The 19,310-nt window shown below is 35.7% G+C and overlaps 1 protein-coding gene across 8 annotated transcripts in view; it reads left to right on the top strand.

The window, feature by feature from the left end:
• The window catches only part of ZNF385D (zinc finger protein 385D), a 960,546-nt gene that overhangs the window by 201,545 nt on the left and 739,691 nt on the right, over nt 1-19,310 (top strand). For 6 of the 8 annotated variants that reach the window (XM_017007192.2, XM_017007191.2, XM_011534122.3 and 3 more), the window contains exon 2: nt 2,184-2,402. In XM_017007192.2, coding sequence (XP_016862681.1) covers nt 2,184-2,402 — 219 coding nt within the window. Of the gene's footprint in view, nt 1-2,183; nt 2,403-19,310 lie in introns of those variants that run through there. The other 2 variants (XM_017007199.2, XM_047448956.1) reach the window with 1 other exon arrangement.

Genomic DNA, 19,310 nt, shown 5'->3' with positions numbered 1-19,310 from the left:
GACTATCTCTGTAGCATTGCCTAATTCTGGCAAACCTAAGCTGTTCACGCTGGAGGAAATAAGTTCTTTGGCTTATTTCTTTGAAATTTATTGATTTATTTTTTCATAATAAATGGTCATCATGTGCAATTTTTTAAATACAGAAATGCTAAAGGAAACCAAGCCAACTCTAATCTTGCCACTCAGAATGAAATAATTCTAATACTTTTTCTAAGTCAAGTTTGTGCTTCATATGGTAGTAAATATACTCTACGTAAATTTACATCTTATTTTTGGTTTTTACTTATACACAAAATATTTTCCCATATTATAAAACTTTCCTGATCTGCTTTTAATGGCTATGCATATTGTGATTTTAGCACACCATCATTTACTTAATCATTTTACTACTTAACAATATTTGAGATAAAAGATTTAAAAGCATAAATCAACTCTAGACAAAAGAAGTTTTGAAATGTTCTGATTATAACCTGGATAGATACTTACATTTTTTTATTTATATAAAATAAGGAAAGCTGATATGCTTACATATTTTCCTTTGATTAAAATTAATCATTTTACAAAGTCTATAAATTTTCTTTTAAAATGACCATTTAAATTGCATATTTAAATTATTTTAACAAGGTTATCTGAGTAAGAGAGATAGAGTTTCCTTTTTAAAAGGAAGTTAATATATTTTAAATGAATTAGTTCACAAAGAAAGCATGCGTTATGTACTGACCAACCTTTTACTCATTTTGGAATTTGGATAGTGACTTCAATACCCATAAATAGATTCAAGTATTAGCCATTTTTGGTGGAGTTCACTAGTTTGATTTTCTTTAAAATTTTATTGGCAAACTGATAATACTTACATGTTGTTAAAAACATTTCAGCATTTGTTATCTCATTTACCTGATTCCAAAGTCCATGGCTTTTGTATCATTAAGTTTGTATAATTGCAAGGACCACTTTTGTGATGCTTGTCAGTTTAACTCCAGAACCTAGGAGGACGCTGTCACATAGCAGTCAGCTCATAAATGCACATTAAAATCATGACTGTTTTTCTCTGCTAATATTTTTCAAATACTTTAAAATAACTCCTTAAAGAACTGGGAGAATTGGAATGGAGAACTCCTATCTGGACCATAGTGTGCTAGAGAGGCTTGGGTAGTGGAAGTAGAGAAAACTTAGAAATGAGGTATTATTATTTTAAATTACTTATGAATGGATGTTAAATATAGATTACAATAGTTACTCTAATTATTGCCATCTTACTGGACAATAATTGGTGGCACACACCTGTAGTTCCAGCTACTTAGTAGGCTAAAGTGGGGGGACTGCTTGAGCCCAGGAGGTCAAGGCTGTGCTGAGCCAAGATCATGCCACTGCACTCCAGCTTAAGTGACAGAGTGAAACCCTGTCTCAAATAAAGAAATAAATGTCATATTAAGGCCAGAGATACTGAAATTATGGGTTGACCTTTTCTCTTTGGTTTTAGTATACAAAGCGTACATTTATCCAGAAGTAATGCTTTCCAATGTAAGCCATAATTCAGTCACACTTTTTTTGTACCCTGATTATAAGGCTATCTTGGGTATTCAAAGCCTCTCTTGTGTGTCAGGTATAAAATATAAAATTTGGGGTATTGAAAGAGTGTTAGTATCTTTGCATGTGTAGAATGTGTCCATCCAGATGTAAGTCACTTTACTTAACTAGTAAGGAATATAAGAACTTTATTTAGTTGAATTAAAACAAAATAATCTAATTCATTATTACATACTAGAGAACATGATGATTAAAAACTTTGGATTTAGAGATAAACTGAATGCTTATCACAGCTATACCACTTGTTAGCTGTGTGACCTTAGACAAGTTGTTTAATCATTCTAAAACTTAGTTTCCTCAGCTATAAAAAAGGGAATACTATAGTGCTTATTACATTGTTATGATAATTAAATGAAGTAATAAAAACATATAGCACAGTATTGGGAATAGATAAAAAGTTAAACATTTGCCATTTATATTCCATTAAAGAGATTGTCTACTTTAGCATAGTGTGAAAGCAATCTATTAAAATGAGAGTACATAGAAATTTTTAATTCTTGTGTGTAGAACAATCCTTATTTGCCACCCAATTTAATAAATATGCAGTAATCTAAAAATCTTGATCTGCTTGTTCATAATTTTCCTTGCACCCTCAGATTTCACCTGTGTACACGATGGCGAGAGTGAGGCTGAATTAATACCTGATGACTTTGAAGAAAAACCAGAAAGAGAAAAGAAACATACCAACTTTACTTTGTGCAATGTATGTAACATTCAGCTGAATTCAGCCGCTCAAGCACAAATCCACTACAATGGCAAATCACATCAAAAGAGATTAAAACAACTCAGCAATGGGACGCTGAAAAATGACAATGGTAAGCTTTTCTAAAAATATTTTCTCAATTTTACATCATCAATTTAAGTTATTTGTGTACCTGCAGATGTGAGGATAAAAGAATGAACTATTTTTTTAAACCAGGAAAAATATTACTTAAAATTTTTATCAGCAGAGTACATTAAAATACATCATTTCTCTTTGAGAGTGAAGGAGAAATTTTGCATACTTAATTGTATTAGGGTTGTGACCTGCAGAAAATTTACTATTTTTGAGTTGTTAGAGTTTTAGAGTTTCTTGATGTGTGCCTTCAGTATAGTTATGTGTGGAAATAGACATCCTTTTACAGTGTATAGGACAGTGGGTTTTTGTTTTTTATTTTTTTATTCCTGCAGATATTCAGGATTCAATTGGTTGGTAACACTGCAATTGGTTTGAAATAATGCATATCTTTTCAAATAGGTGTTTTAATCAATAAACTATGATCTGTTAGTACAGACTTTTGAGTTTCCTAGTGAAAATTTATGGTTTATTTAATAACTTTAGACTACTTTTTAAAAGTATGTGTTGAATTTATGAGTGAATAGATTTTTCAAATAGCACAAAAATATCTTTGGGAAGAAATGGAAAGTTATTAGAAAATATAGAGACATGAAGAGAGGAGGGTGGGCCCGTACAGAGGAGACTTTAGAGAGCTAACTCACTGCAACTTGAGTTACAATATTATATTGTGATCAGATGTTTCATGTTTGATAAATATAATTCATCTAAATTATACTGACATTTAAAAATGTGAATGAATGTCAATCTCTTCCTATATTTGACATCATAAAGATTTTTAATATAATTTTGTAGTTTGCTTCAAGGTGGCCAAATGATGAGAAGAAAAATAAAAGTACATTCTTAAAGTAGAAATTGCTTCTGCATTGCTTTATGTGGTTTTCATTTATTTGATTTTAGTATGAATGAACTGTAGTATTCTATTGGAAAGGATTTTTTATTTCTTTCAAATGTATGACGTTTAGTTAATTATAGATGTTATTTGTCAAAGAGATATAAGAAACAAAAATTGTGGTCAGAAAGTAATTGAGAACTATTAAATTCTATAGGCATAAGATAAACCTAGTGACACAGGACATTTCTTGATCACTTTTGCCAGCCAGAAACACCTGGCCAGCAATGTCCTTGCTCTGCCTCGGCCCACGGCTTTGGGGCTGGCTCTGCCCCACTGCTGTTTCTGTCATGTGGGCTGGCTGCCCTCTGCTTATTAGAGGGCAGAGGGCCACAATGTTACAGCCTTCTCTGTACCCATGATTGGTGGGTCCTGAGCCCTTGTCACATGTCTAAGAAGAATGAGGATATGCTGACAAACGAAGAGTGAGAAGGGTAGAGAATAATTTATTGAGCAATGGAACACCTCTCAGTGGAGAGGGGATGCGTGGGTGGTCCTCCACCCCCACAGTTGGGTAGTTTCTCCCCCAGTATGGCTGAGTCTAGGGCTTTTATGGGCTCAGAATAGGAGAGTACATGCTGATATATTTGTGAGTGTGCAAGGAAAGGCTAAAGCAAAGGCATCACTCAAAGGTGGGCATAGAAGTGTAGAAAACCAATTAGCAAAGGGTTGGTATTTGTAAAATAGGTAAAGGGTGGGGATCAATCAGAGGAAAGCACACCAGATGGGAAGACAGATTCTCAGTCCAGTCCATGGATTTGACTTGTAGCTTGGCTTTCAGGCTTTAAGCTGTCTTTGGCTTGGAGGTGGGGTTTCACCAGGGGCCTGCCCCTATCTGCCTAGGCATTTGTCTGCTTCCTACCGCTATCACTAGCAAAGTAAGTCATGATTTTAAAATGTATATTTCAGTCTCTACTTAGACTTCTTAAGAAAAATCTACTCCTTATTGTTAACTTCTAGGTGAAACCACCTCAAGTACAGCACGATTCAATTCCAAGTTGTTTTCTTTAAGTTTGTATTGGTTATGATAGCATAAGCTTTGGCGTTATACTTCACCTATCTTGATAGTCACAAACCTCTTTTGGAGAAGTAATAAACAACATTATAGAACAAAACTAGAACAAAAGATACATCTTGTTTAGAAACCCAAATCAGAGTTAGTCCCAAGCATAATTTAGAATAGCCAAAGATTTTCAAACCACGATAGTAGGTATGAGTTTACTCAAGTTCAGTATTTTTAAACAATCATATCAGTACAGTTAGAGGTTAGCACTTTATTAAAGGCTTTATATACATTTTATTATTCAATTTTTCCTCATAACCAACCAAAGTGATCTTGTTATATTCCTTTTATAGATGTGGACATTGAGGATAACATCAGTTAATACTATGCTGAAGGTCACACAGCTATTAAATAGTTGAACTTGCAATGAAACCCTGGTCTTACTCACTTAAGTATCTGTACTTTGAAAGGCTGTTTCCCAAAGTGAATATTCTGTACAAACTATGCCTTTCTTCATTCAAACAGAGAAATCATTTAGGAGAACATTTAAAAATTAAAATTTTAATATATTCCTCAAATTCTTTGATTAATATACTATTCAACAAAATATTTGTTGCTGGATTTCCTATTCAGATTTTTTCCCCAAGACGTTTTAAGTATCGTCATGTTAGTAAGAACATTTTCAGTGACCTCTCATTACTAATATTAGTAACATGATGTAGGCCACGAAAAACAACCATGGTTACTGGGAATACTTGGTCATCTTAGGTCATATTGGTTTGGTCTGAAATTATACTTCAGAGGATGGTGGACATGTGGATGAGAAAAGTCAAGAATGGTAGGATCAGGGCCAAGTCTTGGTGACTAGGAATTAGGGGAGATCCTGGAGCCAAAAGTGTCAATCACATTATCTGAGAGGGTATGATGAATTTGGCCTTAATCTGGGCTCCATCTGTTTTCAAAGATATTTGATCTGGTGTATGAATGTAAGAGCAGGAATCAATAGAAAGTGATGATACTTGAAGTAGGTCAGAAAATTCTGTAGTAATCCTTAATAGTTAATTTAAGTTTCTAAGGACCCTGGCCTGTGGGATTGGGTTGTGTTGAGGCAAGAGTTGCCAAGAATTCAGTGTGGTTCAAATTTCAATAAAGCTGAGTTCTGGGGTCTCCTCCTAAGAAAGACCAGTAATATTTGCTGGAAACTAGATGGAAATAATGGTGTAAAGATTTAATCAACTTCTTAAGCATTAGGAGAAATGCTATATTCCTGTACTAAATCTCAGAGTTATGAAAGCAAACCTAATTTATTTCAAACCCTAACATTTAGTAGGATAAAGAGTTTCTTAAATACTGCCAACTGCCATCAGTAGGTATTTGTAAGTGGGAATACAAATAAAAATATTTTCCCACATGATTTTGCTGAGTATTTTTTGCCTTATCCAGCCCCCTGCCAGGCCACACATTATTTTGCAACTGATCAGCTCCCATAAGATTCCTAGCATAGTAAACTGTCATCTTTCCACAGCCATCAGACCGGTGCTTGACAAAGACCAAACTACTCAGCTTTTTTTCTTAATAGACTATTTTTAAAGAATAGTTTCGTGTTCAAGCATAACTGAGTGGAAAGTAAAGTTCCCATATATCCCCTCCTTCACACACAGCCTTCCGCACTATCAACACCATGCACAACAGTGCTACATTTGTTACAACTGATTAACCTACATCAACACATCACTATCACCCAAAGTCTATAGTTTACATGAGTGTTTACCATTGGTGTTGTACATTCTGTGGGTTTACAAAATGTGTAATGACATGTATCCAACATCACAACATCATACAGAATAGTTTTGCTGCCCTAAAAGTCCTCTGTGCTCTGCCTATTCATCTTTCCCTCCCTCATAACCACTGATCTTTTTATGGTCCCCATGGTTTTGACTTTTTCAGAATATCATAAAGTTTGAATTACATACTATGTAGCCTTTTTATATTGGCTTCTTTCACTTAGTAATATGCATGTAACTTTTCTCTGTGTCTTTTTATGGCTTGATAGCTCATTCCTTTTTTAGCATCGAACTATCCTGCTTTTAAATAAAAATTATCCGGACACTTTGTTTCCCATAACACAGCCACATGAGGTCCTATGGCTATATCATACTTTTCTGATGATTATCAGGTGAAAGGGTGTTGTAATTAAAGCATTATACAACAGAGGGGAAACAATTTATCCACTTGAGATGACTTTTTCCAGGAAGAAAAACTATAAGTGGTTTCACTCAAAAAAAAAAAAAAAGTCCCTTTGGGCAAATTGTAGATGATAACCTAGCCCTCTGCCCTTTTTTCTTTCTCAATTCCCTTTAAAAAGTGTTCCTTTTGGCCGGGTATGGTGGCTCATGCCTGTAATCCTAGCACTTTGGGAGATCACAGGGGCCAGATCACGAGGTCAAGAGATCGAGACCATCCTGGCAAACATGGTGAAACCCCGTCTCTACTAAAAATACAAAAATTAGCTAGACGTGGTGGCGCATGCCTGTAGTCCCAGCTACTCTGGAGGCTGAGGCAGGAGAATTACTTGAACCCGGGAGGCAGAGGTTGCAGTGAGCCGAGATAGCACCATTGTACTACAACCTGGCAACAGAGTGAGACCCCGTCTCAAAAAAAAAAAAAAAAAAAAAAAAAAAAAAAGTGCTCCTTTTGTATTACCTATAGTGTGTAAAAAGGAGTGCTCACTTATAACTATAGGTGGGCCTAGTTATATGCCATAAATTTCACAAGCGAATTAGTGCTTTACCTTAATATAGAAACATATTATTTCTTTTACCTATCCCCCATATCCCCACTATTAAAATGTGCCTTTGCAGGCTTATTGGGAATAAGAAATGAACCCAGTTACAAGCCTTACACAGTTATTAGTGGTCATTTGTTTACCTACACAGAAACCTAGCTAAAAATGTTGATTTGTACAAATAATAGATCCTGTAAATTCTTAGTAAGCACATCATCCTTTTTAGGTTATTTAGAAAAAGATATGGGAATTCTTTCATTCTTCTCCTTAAACATGCACAATTGCAAAATGATTGCTTTGAACTTTCATCTTCACAAACTTTTCACCACAATTTAGATTTCAAATGGAAAATAATTAAATATGGTATGTCAAGAAAGAAATAACAATAGAGATTTTTACCTAAATTTATCCAAACAGGTACTTTAGTATTTTCAGGATGCAAATAAAATAATGCATATGGGATTAATTTTTAGCAGTCATTTAAGGATTGCCTAACAGGTAAAATATCATTATTTGATATTTGAATATTGTGTGATTATATGCCTTGAGGCATAGTCTATTATATACTACAAAAAAAACTTGAATAAGCAAGAGCATTATCATATCTAAAATGTTTTTCACATTTCTGAGAAAAATATGTTTTACATATTTACGTGTCATCTCACTTATTAAGGAAAATGATCTTCTGAAGATCACAGTGAAAAGCTATCTGATGTATATAAATTAATTAGGGGGCTATTGTTCCTGCAGTTAAGACTAACTTCGGTTTCTGACGGCGATGTACGTTATGCAGAAATAAAGGTATATAGAATGCATGTATACCACCTGAATTCATGCTCTGCTAGAATTCATTGATTCAAGAATCTGTGTGATTCAAGAATCTCTAAAGTCCCTCCAGCTCAGTCAGGAATTTTGCCTGCTAAATTCCTCCACAAGCATTGCCTTCAGCTCATGGGAACTACCTCCTCTGAGCTCGTTCCTTCTCTTATAGCAGCCTGTGTCCAATGGCTAGTCAATGCTGAGGTACAAAGTCCCAGCTCCTTGCCTCAAAAGTGGGTAGACATCTCTGAAAGTCCATTCCAGCTTCAGATTTGCTGATGTCTCTGTTTCAATTCTATCACAGGCTAACCTCACTCTCTACTATGTCCTGCTTTTCTTACGCTTCACAGGTATAGATCTCCAGCCCACTACTTGCACACAAAATCATCTTAGACTCTGCTTCTTGGGAATCCAAATAAGACACTACCAATGATTTTTAAAGTTGTTAAGGAGAATTGTCCTCTCTCTCTGAAGGTTCATCTCTGATTCTGTTGACATCAATTGACCATAGAGAGGTCAATTAACAGATTAAAAGATATACAAATGTATTAACATGCATAAGCCTGGGAGGCATACAAAATATGAGGCTCAAAGGAGAGGCCAAATGGTTGAAGTTTATACCTTATCCTGAGGTTATAGAAAGAATGGCTGCCTACTGCGTAGTGCAAGGGGGGTGGAGTCCCAGGTAATAGGACAGTGAGGGAAGGAAAGCATGGCAGGTAGGGCTGTCTTGTTATGCCTATAAAAAATCTCTCAAGTAAACTCAGAGCTGCCCTCAGAAAGTATAGATGGTGGCCTGTGTTAAAATGTCTCTGTTAGAACTTCAAAATGGTTAGATTTTAGTCTCTTTTTTTCTTTGAGTTAATCTTAGTTTTGGGTAAGGCAGATAAGGGGGGCTTCAGAGAAAGCCTGTTTGCATCTGCTGTTTACTTTACTAATGTAGATTTTCTATACAGATGTAAACCCTCCCACAAAAAGACAGCTTTTCAAAGCTGTTCCTGTAGTCTGTAGCCCCTCTGAATAGCATCTTAAAATATGCCAAAGAAATATATTTTGGGGTAAAATATTCTGGTTTCCTTCAAAGTCTCAGTAAGAAATATGCACAATGTGTTTTATTGTGCAAATGCAACACGATTTAATACTTTCCTTAACTCTTATTTTCCATTTGATACCTGTGAGTTAAGATTTGCCATCAAAAATGCAAAAGAAATGAGAAGGGAACTAGCATCAACTGTTCCAAGTACTTCATATACATCATTTGTTGAATCCCAATCAACAGTCTTACAAAGTCTTATTACCTCTGTTTTGAAAATAACATAGCCAAGGATCAAAGAACCTAACAGACTTGCCAGTAAAGCTGTTTGTCTTCAGAACTGCCCAGGTCTACATTATTGACAACTCATTAATCTCCCTGGCAAACTTATATTCTACTGTCAACAAAATTATACCATACATTTGGGTATTTTCTTATGTTATTGAGTTTATGTCATTCTTAAATCACTTATATTATTACAGCAAAGCTGATGTTTTCCTTAAATTTTCATCAACAACTCTAACTGCTGAGAATATTTTGTGCCGAATAAAATAGTCATGTAAATAGATCATTTGATAATTTATCACTATATATTCTCTATCATGCCAGAAATGTATCTTTTTCTGTTAGCATACTTTTTTGAAGATGTGAATAAAGAAGTGGCAGAAAGGAATTCTATATTAGAAGTTGACTAAATGTGTTGACTTTTCCATATTCCAGAGATCTCATGATTCACCCTCTCATAAATATTATAGATCTAGGAAACAATACAGACTGCATGACTAAGTTCCTCTTTTAAAAAGGCCTTTGATTTTATATTTATGATGCAATTGAGCTTTACAAATAAAGATTATTTTTCTGCTGTTATAAAATGGTTTAATATATACTGCATACAAATGTATTAATGTAAATTAAAAGTCCCCAACATTCTATAAAAATATTTACTTCTAATTTTTGTCACAATTCATCAAGAATGCAAGTATGAATAAGAAATATTGTTTGTACAGTTTTACAAGCATTATAACAATGTTTGTATATCACTACATTTTATGATATATATTTTTTAATTACCATAGGAAATTAGTAGTGGAGTTGAGATTTCTAGGTAAGCATTAAGATTTTACTCATATTTGCCATTTTGTTTTCTAATTATGTGATATATTCTATAATGGAAAAGCTTTAACATTATGAGGTATAGAATGAAGTATTAAAGTATCATAAGGGATTTTGTCTAAGAACAGAAATTTGAAGATTAGATTAAGAATGGTTCTTTGATTCATAGCAGCATTTTGAAAGACATATTACAAGGGGCATAACTTTTAGGATGTTTAAACCTTCTATGGCAAATTAATTCAGTTTCATGTGCTCAACATAGTTTAAGCTGTTGTTAATGCTTGTTGAAGGATTGAGTAACAAGTTGACCTACCGTGTCAGCTTTATTTTATTCACACTATCTTTGTCATATTTGGGTTAATTTATTAAGCCTGGTTTCCTATTTTTATTGGGCTGAAACTGCTATCAAATAATTCAGCTTTATCTGCAAGTATTCTAGAGTCTTTTGGTGTTCATTGTTTTGTAGCACATAAATCCAGAGTATTGCTGCCCTTATCTTTGCTGCTAGCATTAAATTTTCTTTCATTTAACAGAAAAGCTAAATAGAATTTTAATTTCTAGTTCTCACTGATCTATTCTTTTTTCTTTCCATTGATTGCCCCAGAAGATATTTAAAGTGTCAGAAGATTTTCAATTTACAAGATTTTCTTCTCCTGCAACATTGATAGTTAATGAAAATAAAATAGCTTCATAGATTTTTATCGTACTTCAGGCCTTGATTTTATGTATATATTTATCATTTATATATAAATTTGTCTCACCTTTTGATCTCCAAGGACGATTTGTGCTTTTGTTGACTGTCAGTAGACAAATTAGAACTTGCTAGAACATTTGTGGCTTCACAGTGATCTCTTTTGGCATAATTTTATTTCATAATGGTAACTTCTTTCTTAATGATACCTTATCTATATCAGTATATGTATTAGTCCATTTTCATACTGCTATACAGAACTGGCCAAGACTGGGTGATTTATAAAAGAAAAAGATTTCACTCACAGTTCCACATGGCTGGGGAGGCCTCAGGAAGCTTACAATCATGGTGGAAAACAAAGGAGAAGCAAGGCACCTTCTTCACAAGGTGGCAGGAAGGAGAATGAACATCACAAGAACAGCATGGGGAAAACTGGCCCCATGATTCAATTACCCCCACATGGTCTCTCCTTTGACACGTGGGGATTGTAAAGATTATGGGGATTACAATTCAAGATGAGATTTTGGCTGGGGACACAACCAAACCATATCAGCATATGATATATTGAAATGTGGCGCTTTCCTCATACTTTTCTCTTACCGACCATATCCTTCAGAAGTTCAGCCGAGGGGAGGCCATGAAAAAATGCAGATATTAAATTGTTCAAAAATATATAATAAGACACTGTATTCTTGTTTGACTGAAGTAAATTCCTTTTTTATCATTGAAGGATAAAAATGTAGAAGAAAGTGAAAAATGCTAATTTCACTGTGTTCAAATTTGGATCATGTTTCTGGCTTTTGTTACCAATTTTTTTCACCCTAAAAAGAAAACATGTCAGTTATTTAAAGTTCCAGCCACTGGCTATTTGTTTTACCTGGACTTAATATGAATTCCATTGAAGGGCACTGTCTTTTGCAACACAGAGATTTCTTTGTGCAATCTCTGTCCCTGAGAAACCCTGTGTACTAGGACAATGATGAGGTTTTACAACCTGAGCCTGATAATCCAGACCGACTCCTGTCTGGAATCCATCCAATAGGTTACTCTGTCCAAGATGAAGTATACTCTAGTTTTTCATGACCATTGTTTTGAAGAGCTAGATGAAGTGAAAATTAAGTGAAGCCAAAAAAGAAAAGAGAATGAATTAAATTTATAACGTTTAGCTTGGAAATATAATCTATTTGAGATAGAGGAGATTTTCATTTGTGCTTCTCTGCATGTATGTGCGTGGGAGTGAGTGTGTTTAGGGAAGTTTGAAGAACTTGAAGGTATTGGCAGCTTACAGCACTGGTAGTATGAAATGAGAGTGCAGAATTTTTTTTAATGTGTGAACTTCAAATCTGTTTAGTACACATAGAGCTACCTTGTTTCTTCATCTTTTACCTCTTTCAGTTACTAATCACGTCCACCGACAACATCTTCCAGTCCCTGTGTTTCCTATCTATAATCTTAGGAAAGTAATCACTCCTCTGCTTTTCTAGGTTTGAAAGTATAAGCTTTTTAACTTTTGTTTTCCTTCCTTTACATTTCCCCTAGAAGTAATTTTCCCAAGGTAATGGAGCTAGTAGTAATAAAGGTGAGATTCTTGTATGCATGAATTTTTCTTTCCTGATTTACGCCCTTAACAAGTTATTTTGCATTCTGAGGCCCACCCTTTTGAAACTGGCTTCTAGTTTCTATAGATCTACACCAGGCCTGGCACTCCTTCTCTTAACCACCGTGTTTTTTGTTTGTTTCTCAGAAACACTAAGCAATGGCATGAATGTGTGTGTGTGTGTATGTGTGTGTGTGTAAGATGGTATTACAGATTCAATTCACTAAATAGTTTCCTTAAATATTAATTTTGAGTTTTTCAAGGAGAGATCAGAAAGTAATTTTCAAAAATAGCAGCCCAGATACATGTCTTCTCTTTCCTTGCTTCCAAAATTGCGATAGTATTTTGTAAGAAACTTGAAAATAAAAGCAAATAGATGTATAGCAGCACTGTGAACTTGTTAAGAATAAAATAGTGAGGGATTTCTGGAAGAGTAAAAGAAATGGGATAAAAATGAGATAAAACACTGGACCTAAACACAAGTAAGGAAACCTATAAAGTCAGGGAAAAAGCGCCCAATAACTCTGGTTTCCAATAGAACTTCAGAATATCTCTAAGATTACTCTGAAGTAGACTTAAAGGTGGTATGCATTGTTTAATGGAAATTGTGATGAATTTACTTATGCTAGTGTGCAGTTAGAAACTCAGATATAACTCACCTGCCCAGCCTAATAGTGAAAATAAAGAACCCATGAATCTGGGGGTTATAAACCGGAGATGTCAGAAAGTGAATGTCCTGATGAGATCAAGGATAGGAGAGGATAGAGGGAACAGACACATCTGCTATGAATTTGTTGGCTTTGTAATGTGCGCTGTAATTCCCTCTTTCATCTTACATCTGGAATCGCTTGTAAAGCTGACTTTGCTTACTCACTAATTTAAAAATACGTGAGATTAGAGTTATTCCCAGGGAACTTTTGTAAAGGACATCTAGACTCTATTCCAGTTAAGGTTGGCACTTTGTGTGCAGGTACAAAAATAAAAGCTGGACCATATATGTATTATCTGTTTACAACTACTTGTATCAGGTACAGTGTTGAAATCAAAGATATGAACAAGTCATATTTTCTACTCGTTTCCAATTTTCCAACCCTGAGAGGAATGAATATGTGTACATAAATTTCAATTCAATAGTTTACTTGAGAAAAAGTGTGATTTTTACTTCAAGATTTTATTTCAGTGACTCAGTAGAAGTATAAAAAGTTAGAGAATATGTGAACTAATCAATGCATAAGAGGTTAAAAAACTGTAGTTTTAAATGGAGAGTAATAAAAGCCGAATTAATGCAAGAATATTTAATTTCCTTAACAAATACTTAATAAACACTTCCTGTAAGGAATAAGAATTCTGACCTAGATCTTATTCTCACTGGTAGAATAGCTACATCTGGGGGTGTTATTAAAAAAAACAACAAAAAGAAAGAAGAAAAGGGGAAACAACCTTAAAATTTAATTCCTGTCTTATAGGAGGAAGACAACGGGTCTGCTAAGCAGATAATAAAGGTATCAAAAATATAAATGATGAGTAACATTTTTCATGCATTTACATTGTTCTAGATTTTATTCTAAAAATTCTGTGTATAATTAATGTGATTCTCTTATTTTATGATTTAGATACAGTCATTAGTATACATTATGTAGACCATAAACTAATACAAAGGAAAGTAAAGAAATTTGCCAAAGGTCATGTAACTGGAAAGAGGTAGGGCCAGTCCCTGAGCCTGGCAAGCTGGTTCCAGAGTCCACACGCATATTCATGATGTTACAATAGCTGTCAGGCCTGGAGGCTACCTTGGATTGCTCCTTGATTCAGAAGCCAAAGGAGGAGAGAGCTTCAGAAAAAGAGGAAGTGGTTGTCTACCTTGTGCTGAAGAGTTTTTTCAGAGAGGTTAAAATAGGCGAACTCTGTGGGAGATCTGGAACTTGTAAAATGATAGATTATCTTTGAGAAGCTGTTTAAATGAAGTGGGTAAAGCAAAATCAGGTGTTGAGAAGTAGAGTGTTTCTCTGACTTTTGGTCTTTAAAATCCCTGATTCAGAATCACCTTGGGTACTTCATGAAAATTCAGATTCCCTGGTATGCGTTCGGTCCTTTAAATGGGAGTCTACAGTAACATTTAGTTAGAAATAGAGAAAGTCAGTAAGGGAAAAAGGGTGAGGAAGAGGAAAGAGATGGCTGTGGCTCAGTTTACATACCTCAGTCGGCAAGGAAAAGTCTGCTATGGAGGCATTTCATGACCATCTGTTTGTATTCTAACATGTACTGGGGGAAAACTAATTGCCAGCCCAAGAGACTCATCAAAGTGATTCCTTCTTGTTATATTTTCAGCGATGTTTTAGGAACTGTCATCGATCTACCAGTCATGAAAGCAAGTAGCGTTCTCTCTCTCTCTAAACCTAGCTCTGGTGGTTGTGAATCAATCCTGAGCATTGCAGTTAATTTGAAGAGCATGTAATCCATCTGTGCAGGGGCAGGGGGGCTGTGTACACCACAGTTTGCATCTGGTCTTGCTCTTTTGCTTGGCATTCTGACCATCAAGTTTTAGGACTTCATTGTAAAAGAGTGTCCGAGTATGTATACTTTATTCCAAATTACTTCCTTTCAGCAATATTTTATGTGTTTTTCTTGTTTCTTGTTACACCTTCACTTGAGGATTGTGTCTTCATATGGTGGTAATTTTTTTCCTAGAAGTACATTTATATTTTTAACCTGATAAGTACTCATTGCACAATTATTAAGGAATGTGTTAATGCCAAGTATTCTATTATGTCTCCTTTATTCTTTTCCCATACAAGTCACATATGTGTTAGGATCCCTACTCTAGGATGTCATACATGGGAGTTACTGGGACAAGCTGTCTTTCATATTTTTCTTTTCATTTCATCCTCCATCTAAAATTCAAAGTCCTTGATAAACTGATTTTTACCCTGGGGTATCTGAATACTATTTTGAATACTCTTAACTTTCCTTATGTGTAATTTACATGTTATTAACTGTAAATGAGACCCAAATTAAAAACTTTTAACAACAAACTCTTCTATCCTTATTTTAACAAAAATTGAGAAGTGACTGCTCTCCATTGTTTTTTAATGAAGACAATATAAGGTTTTGGAGAGTCATACATAATTCTTCTACCAAAATCCAATTTTTATGGCAGAAAAATTACAATATTATAAAAGTAGGGACATGTTCTCTTTATTAACTATTTTAACAGGAGTTCTTACATTTGAGACAATCAGGAAAGTGTCAGAATAAGCTAATATGTGTTATGTGTGCTCAGTAGATAGTAATTTATGATCATAATCCTGTCAGTCTCATTTTATTTACTAGTCAAGGACCCCTTTTGCCTAATCACTAACAAAAGTGTCCCAGTGTTTGTAATTCTTGCTATTCTGTTTTTATTCCTACTGCCATAAAATATTTTCCTTCCCTTCATATAGAATTTCCTTAAGAAATCTCTTTAGTTCCAGAAAAAAATCTTAAGAGTATATAATATTCTCACTAATACAAGCATCAGGGACTATTTTAATTCATTTCATTTCTGATGGAAAAAAAATCAAAGCGGAGACCCCACATCCCATATGACTGATTCTGAAATAATTTCTTTACCACAGCAATCAATAATGTTTTTCTGTACTTCTCTCACATAGATCTTTTTATTTATTTTTATTGATACACAATAATTATAGATATTTACGGGGTACACGTGATATTTTTATATATTCATACAATGTGTAATGATCAAATCAGGGCAATTAAGAAGTTGCAATTCTGTCAATAATAATATTGTCATTGTCCTTCACATAAGATCAATTATACAATGATGTTTAAAAATCTGCCTGTTCTCCCTTACACTGTTCAATGGCTGCCTTAATTCACTTAATATAGTAGTCAACCACCAAATCTTGTATATCAATTTCTTTCAGGTTCAACTACAATCAATTTGTATAATATCATGCTCCTTTTGATATCATGGAAGATGAATGTTTCCTGTTTTCTGTGGAGAGGTGGTGTTATTAGGAATCCAATAGTTAAAAGATTTTAAAATTTAAAACAGAATAAAGTTATCTGAAGTATTCCTGCATTACTTACTCTTATGAGCAATGCCAGAGACTTGTTTATCACATGTGATTTGGGAAGATGTTAAAAATTAAAAGGAGGTGGGCAGAATAGGAGAAAACCAGAAGTAAGACATGAAGCCCCAGAGAGGCAAGGTATGTACATTAAAGAGATTCATAGAGATGCCAAGGCTTGAAGGAGCTTTATGGCTCATACCTCATTTAGGACTCCAGGACTATTCCACTTTGTATGGTGAATTTGTGCAAAGCAAAGAGATCAGACAGAGCTTAATTTGCACTCTAGAGTATTCCTCAGTTGCCTTCTGGCAGAGAGGAGGAATTCAGATTTTCTTCTGTTTTCTTACGTGGTGAAGCCCTCTGTAGCTGAGTTGAGAAATGTTGGTCCTACTCTGGATCCTGGGAAGGTAAGAGGCAAGAAAACCCCACCTTCTAGACATGGGTTTGACTTAATGATGTAGCAGAGACTCAGGGTAGTTTGCAGCATCAACATGAATCAATACAGGATGAGGTTAGCCAGGAAAATATCCTATTATCTGATAGAGCTGGAAATGAAATGAGCTTCAATTGTAGTGGCAGGCCTTCAACAATAAACAGGGCAGAATGCCCTTAGCTGGGCACCCAAACAACCACACCCCAGTGGATATCAGCCAGTATATTCCCGAGGACCAGAATTAGGAGGCCAGAGATGATCCTTACTCCCAATTCACATAAGGCTTATTCCATATACCAAAAACCCTTTGGGATACAAGAAAATGAAATGGAAAGTAAGCTAAAGGACTGGATGCTAAAACTAAAGGTGATGAGTTATCTAAATGGGAACATGTGAACTAACAGAGGGAGAGAGTGCTACCATGATTAGCATGTTTAAATGTTAATCTGCAGCTCTGCTGTCTCCCACATGGTGTGGGAGTAAAAGGTATCCAGAAGTTTCTGTTAAAATATGGCTGAGGAAGCTGACTATGAGACCAGCCACACAATTTGTAGGGCCCACTACAAAATGAAAAATGCAGAGTCCGTTGCTAAAAATCTGTTAAGAATTTCAGGATTAATGCCAGCACTTTGGGAGGCCGAGGTGGGTGGATCACTTGAGGTCAGGAGTTCAAGACCAGCCTGACCAACATGGTGAAATGCCATCTCTACTAAAAATACAAAAATCATCAGGGTATAGTGGTGGGTGCCTTTAATCCCAGCTACTCAGGAGGCTGAGACACAAGAATTGCTTGGACCCAGGAGGGGGAGTTTGCAGTGATCCGAGACCGTGCCACTGCACTCCAGCCTGGGTGACAGAGAGACTCTGTCTCAAAAAAAAAAAAAAAAAAAGAAGAATTTCATGGTGACAAACAGAATTAAAACAGGCACGGGGTCATTGTGAATGCAGGAACTTGTGCCCATGATTGCACAAACTACAGAGTTTGCCTGATGATGTTACAGCATCAGGGAGGATCTGGCTCTGTGGACAATGGCCACTGGTGAGACCACTCAGCCCAGCAGGTGATAGGAGTCCTAATTGGACCTCAGGGGAACTATAGAGTACCTAAGAGGGCAGAAGTGGGGCACCATCAGCAGACAGGAGGTTGCTCATTCTCTGTTGGACCATTCCCAAAGCAAGAAAACTGAATATGAGTTCACCAGTCACAGATTTGTACAGCAGAGGTCAGGAAGGGAGCCCAATAACCATGTAGAAAATGGTTGTATGCAGTAGTACATTGGTCAGTTTTAACCATCAGCTCTCCTGAGAATAAAAGCCATGGTTTGTAACATCTCCCTATTTTTCACCATGGCACATTTTAAGCTACCAATGTGTCATCAGGGAAGAGTGAGTAGATAAGAGGTACACACAATTGGTTGTTGAAAACCAGTGCAAGATTTCACCACGTCCCTGGTTGTAAGTGTGGCCAATGGGTTTAGAGTATAGTACAGGGACCCTTATAAGTAGAAGGATATTGTGGTAGACCAAATAATACTCCCCAAAAGATGTATACATCCTAATCCCTGAGACCTGTGAATATGTTGCCTAACTTGGCCAAAGGAACTCCACATACGTGATCAAATTCATGGTCTTGAGATGAAGAGGTTATCCTGCATTATCTGGGTAGGAAAAATGGAATCACAAGAGTCATTTTATGAGGAAGATAGGAAGGTCAGAGAGAGAAAGGAGATGTTACTGTGGAAGCAGAGGTTAGAGTGACGACGCACTTAGGAGATGGAGGAAGGGATCAAGGAATGCAGGTGGCTTCTAGAAGCTGAAAGAGGCAAGGAAACAGATTCTTCCCTTACAGCCCTCAGAAGGAACACAGACCTTCCAACACCTTGATTTCACCCCATAGAATCCATTTCAGACTTCTGACCTCAGAACTGTATGATAAATTTGTTTTGTCTTAAGCCAACAAATTTGTAGTAATTTGCTCTAGCAATGATAGGAGACTAATACAGATACCGTCATTTTCCTAAGTGGTATGAGGTCAAGCAAGTACTCACCCTCCCATGCAGTTGTTGTTGCTCTTTTAAAAGAGAGCAGAGGATAGGGAATACTAAGCATTTGTCTGAAAGTATTACCCAATGCAATTGTTTAAATTACTATGCAGCCATAAAAAAGAACGAGATCATATCATTTGCAAGAACATGGGTGGAGCTGGAGGTCATCATTCATAGCATACTAATGCAGGAACAGAAAACCAAAAACCTGTGTTCTCACTTAGAAGTGGGAGCTAAATGATGAGAACACACAGACGCAAAGAGGGGAACAACAAACCCTGAACCCTACTTGAAGGTGGAGGGTGGAAGGAGAGAGAGGAACAGAAAAAAATTACTACTGAGTACTAGGCTTAGTGCCTGAGTGATTAAATAACCTGTACAAGAAACTCCTATGTTGCCCA

The sequence above is a fragment of the Homo sapiens genome, chromosome 3, assembly GCF_000001405.40.
Source record: "Homo sapiens chromosome 3, GRCh38.p14 Primary Assembly".
NCBI classification, from domain to species: domain Eukaryota; kingdom Metazoa; phylum Chordata; class Mammalia; order Primates; family Hominidae; genus Homo; species Homo sapiens.
Note: the sequence above shows the minus strand (reverse complement) of the source record. Positions and strands in the feature narration are given on the sequence as shown.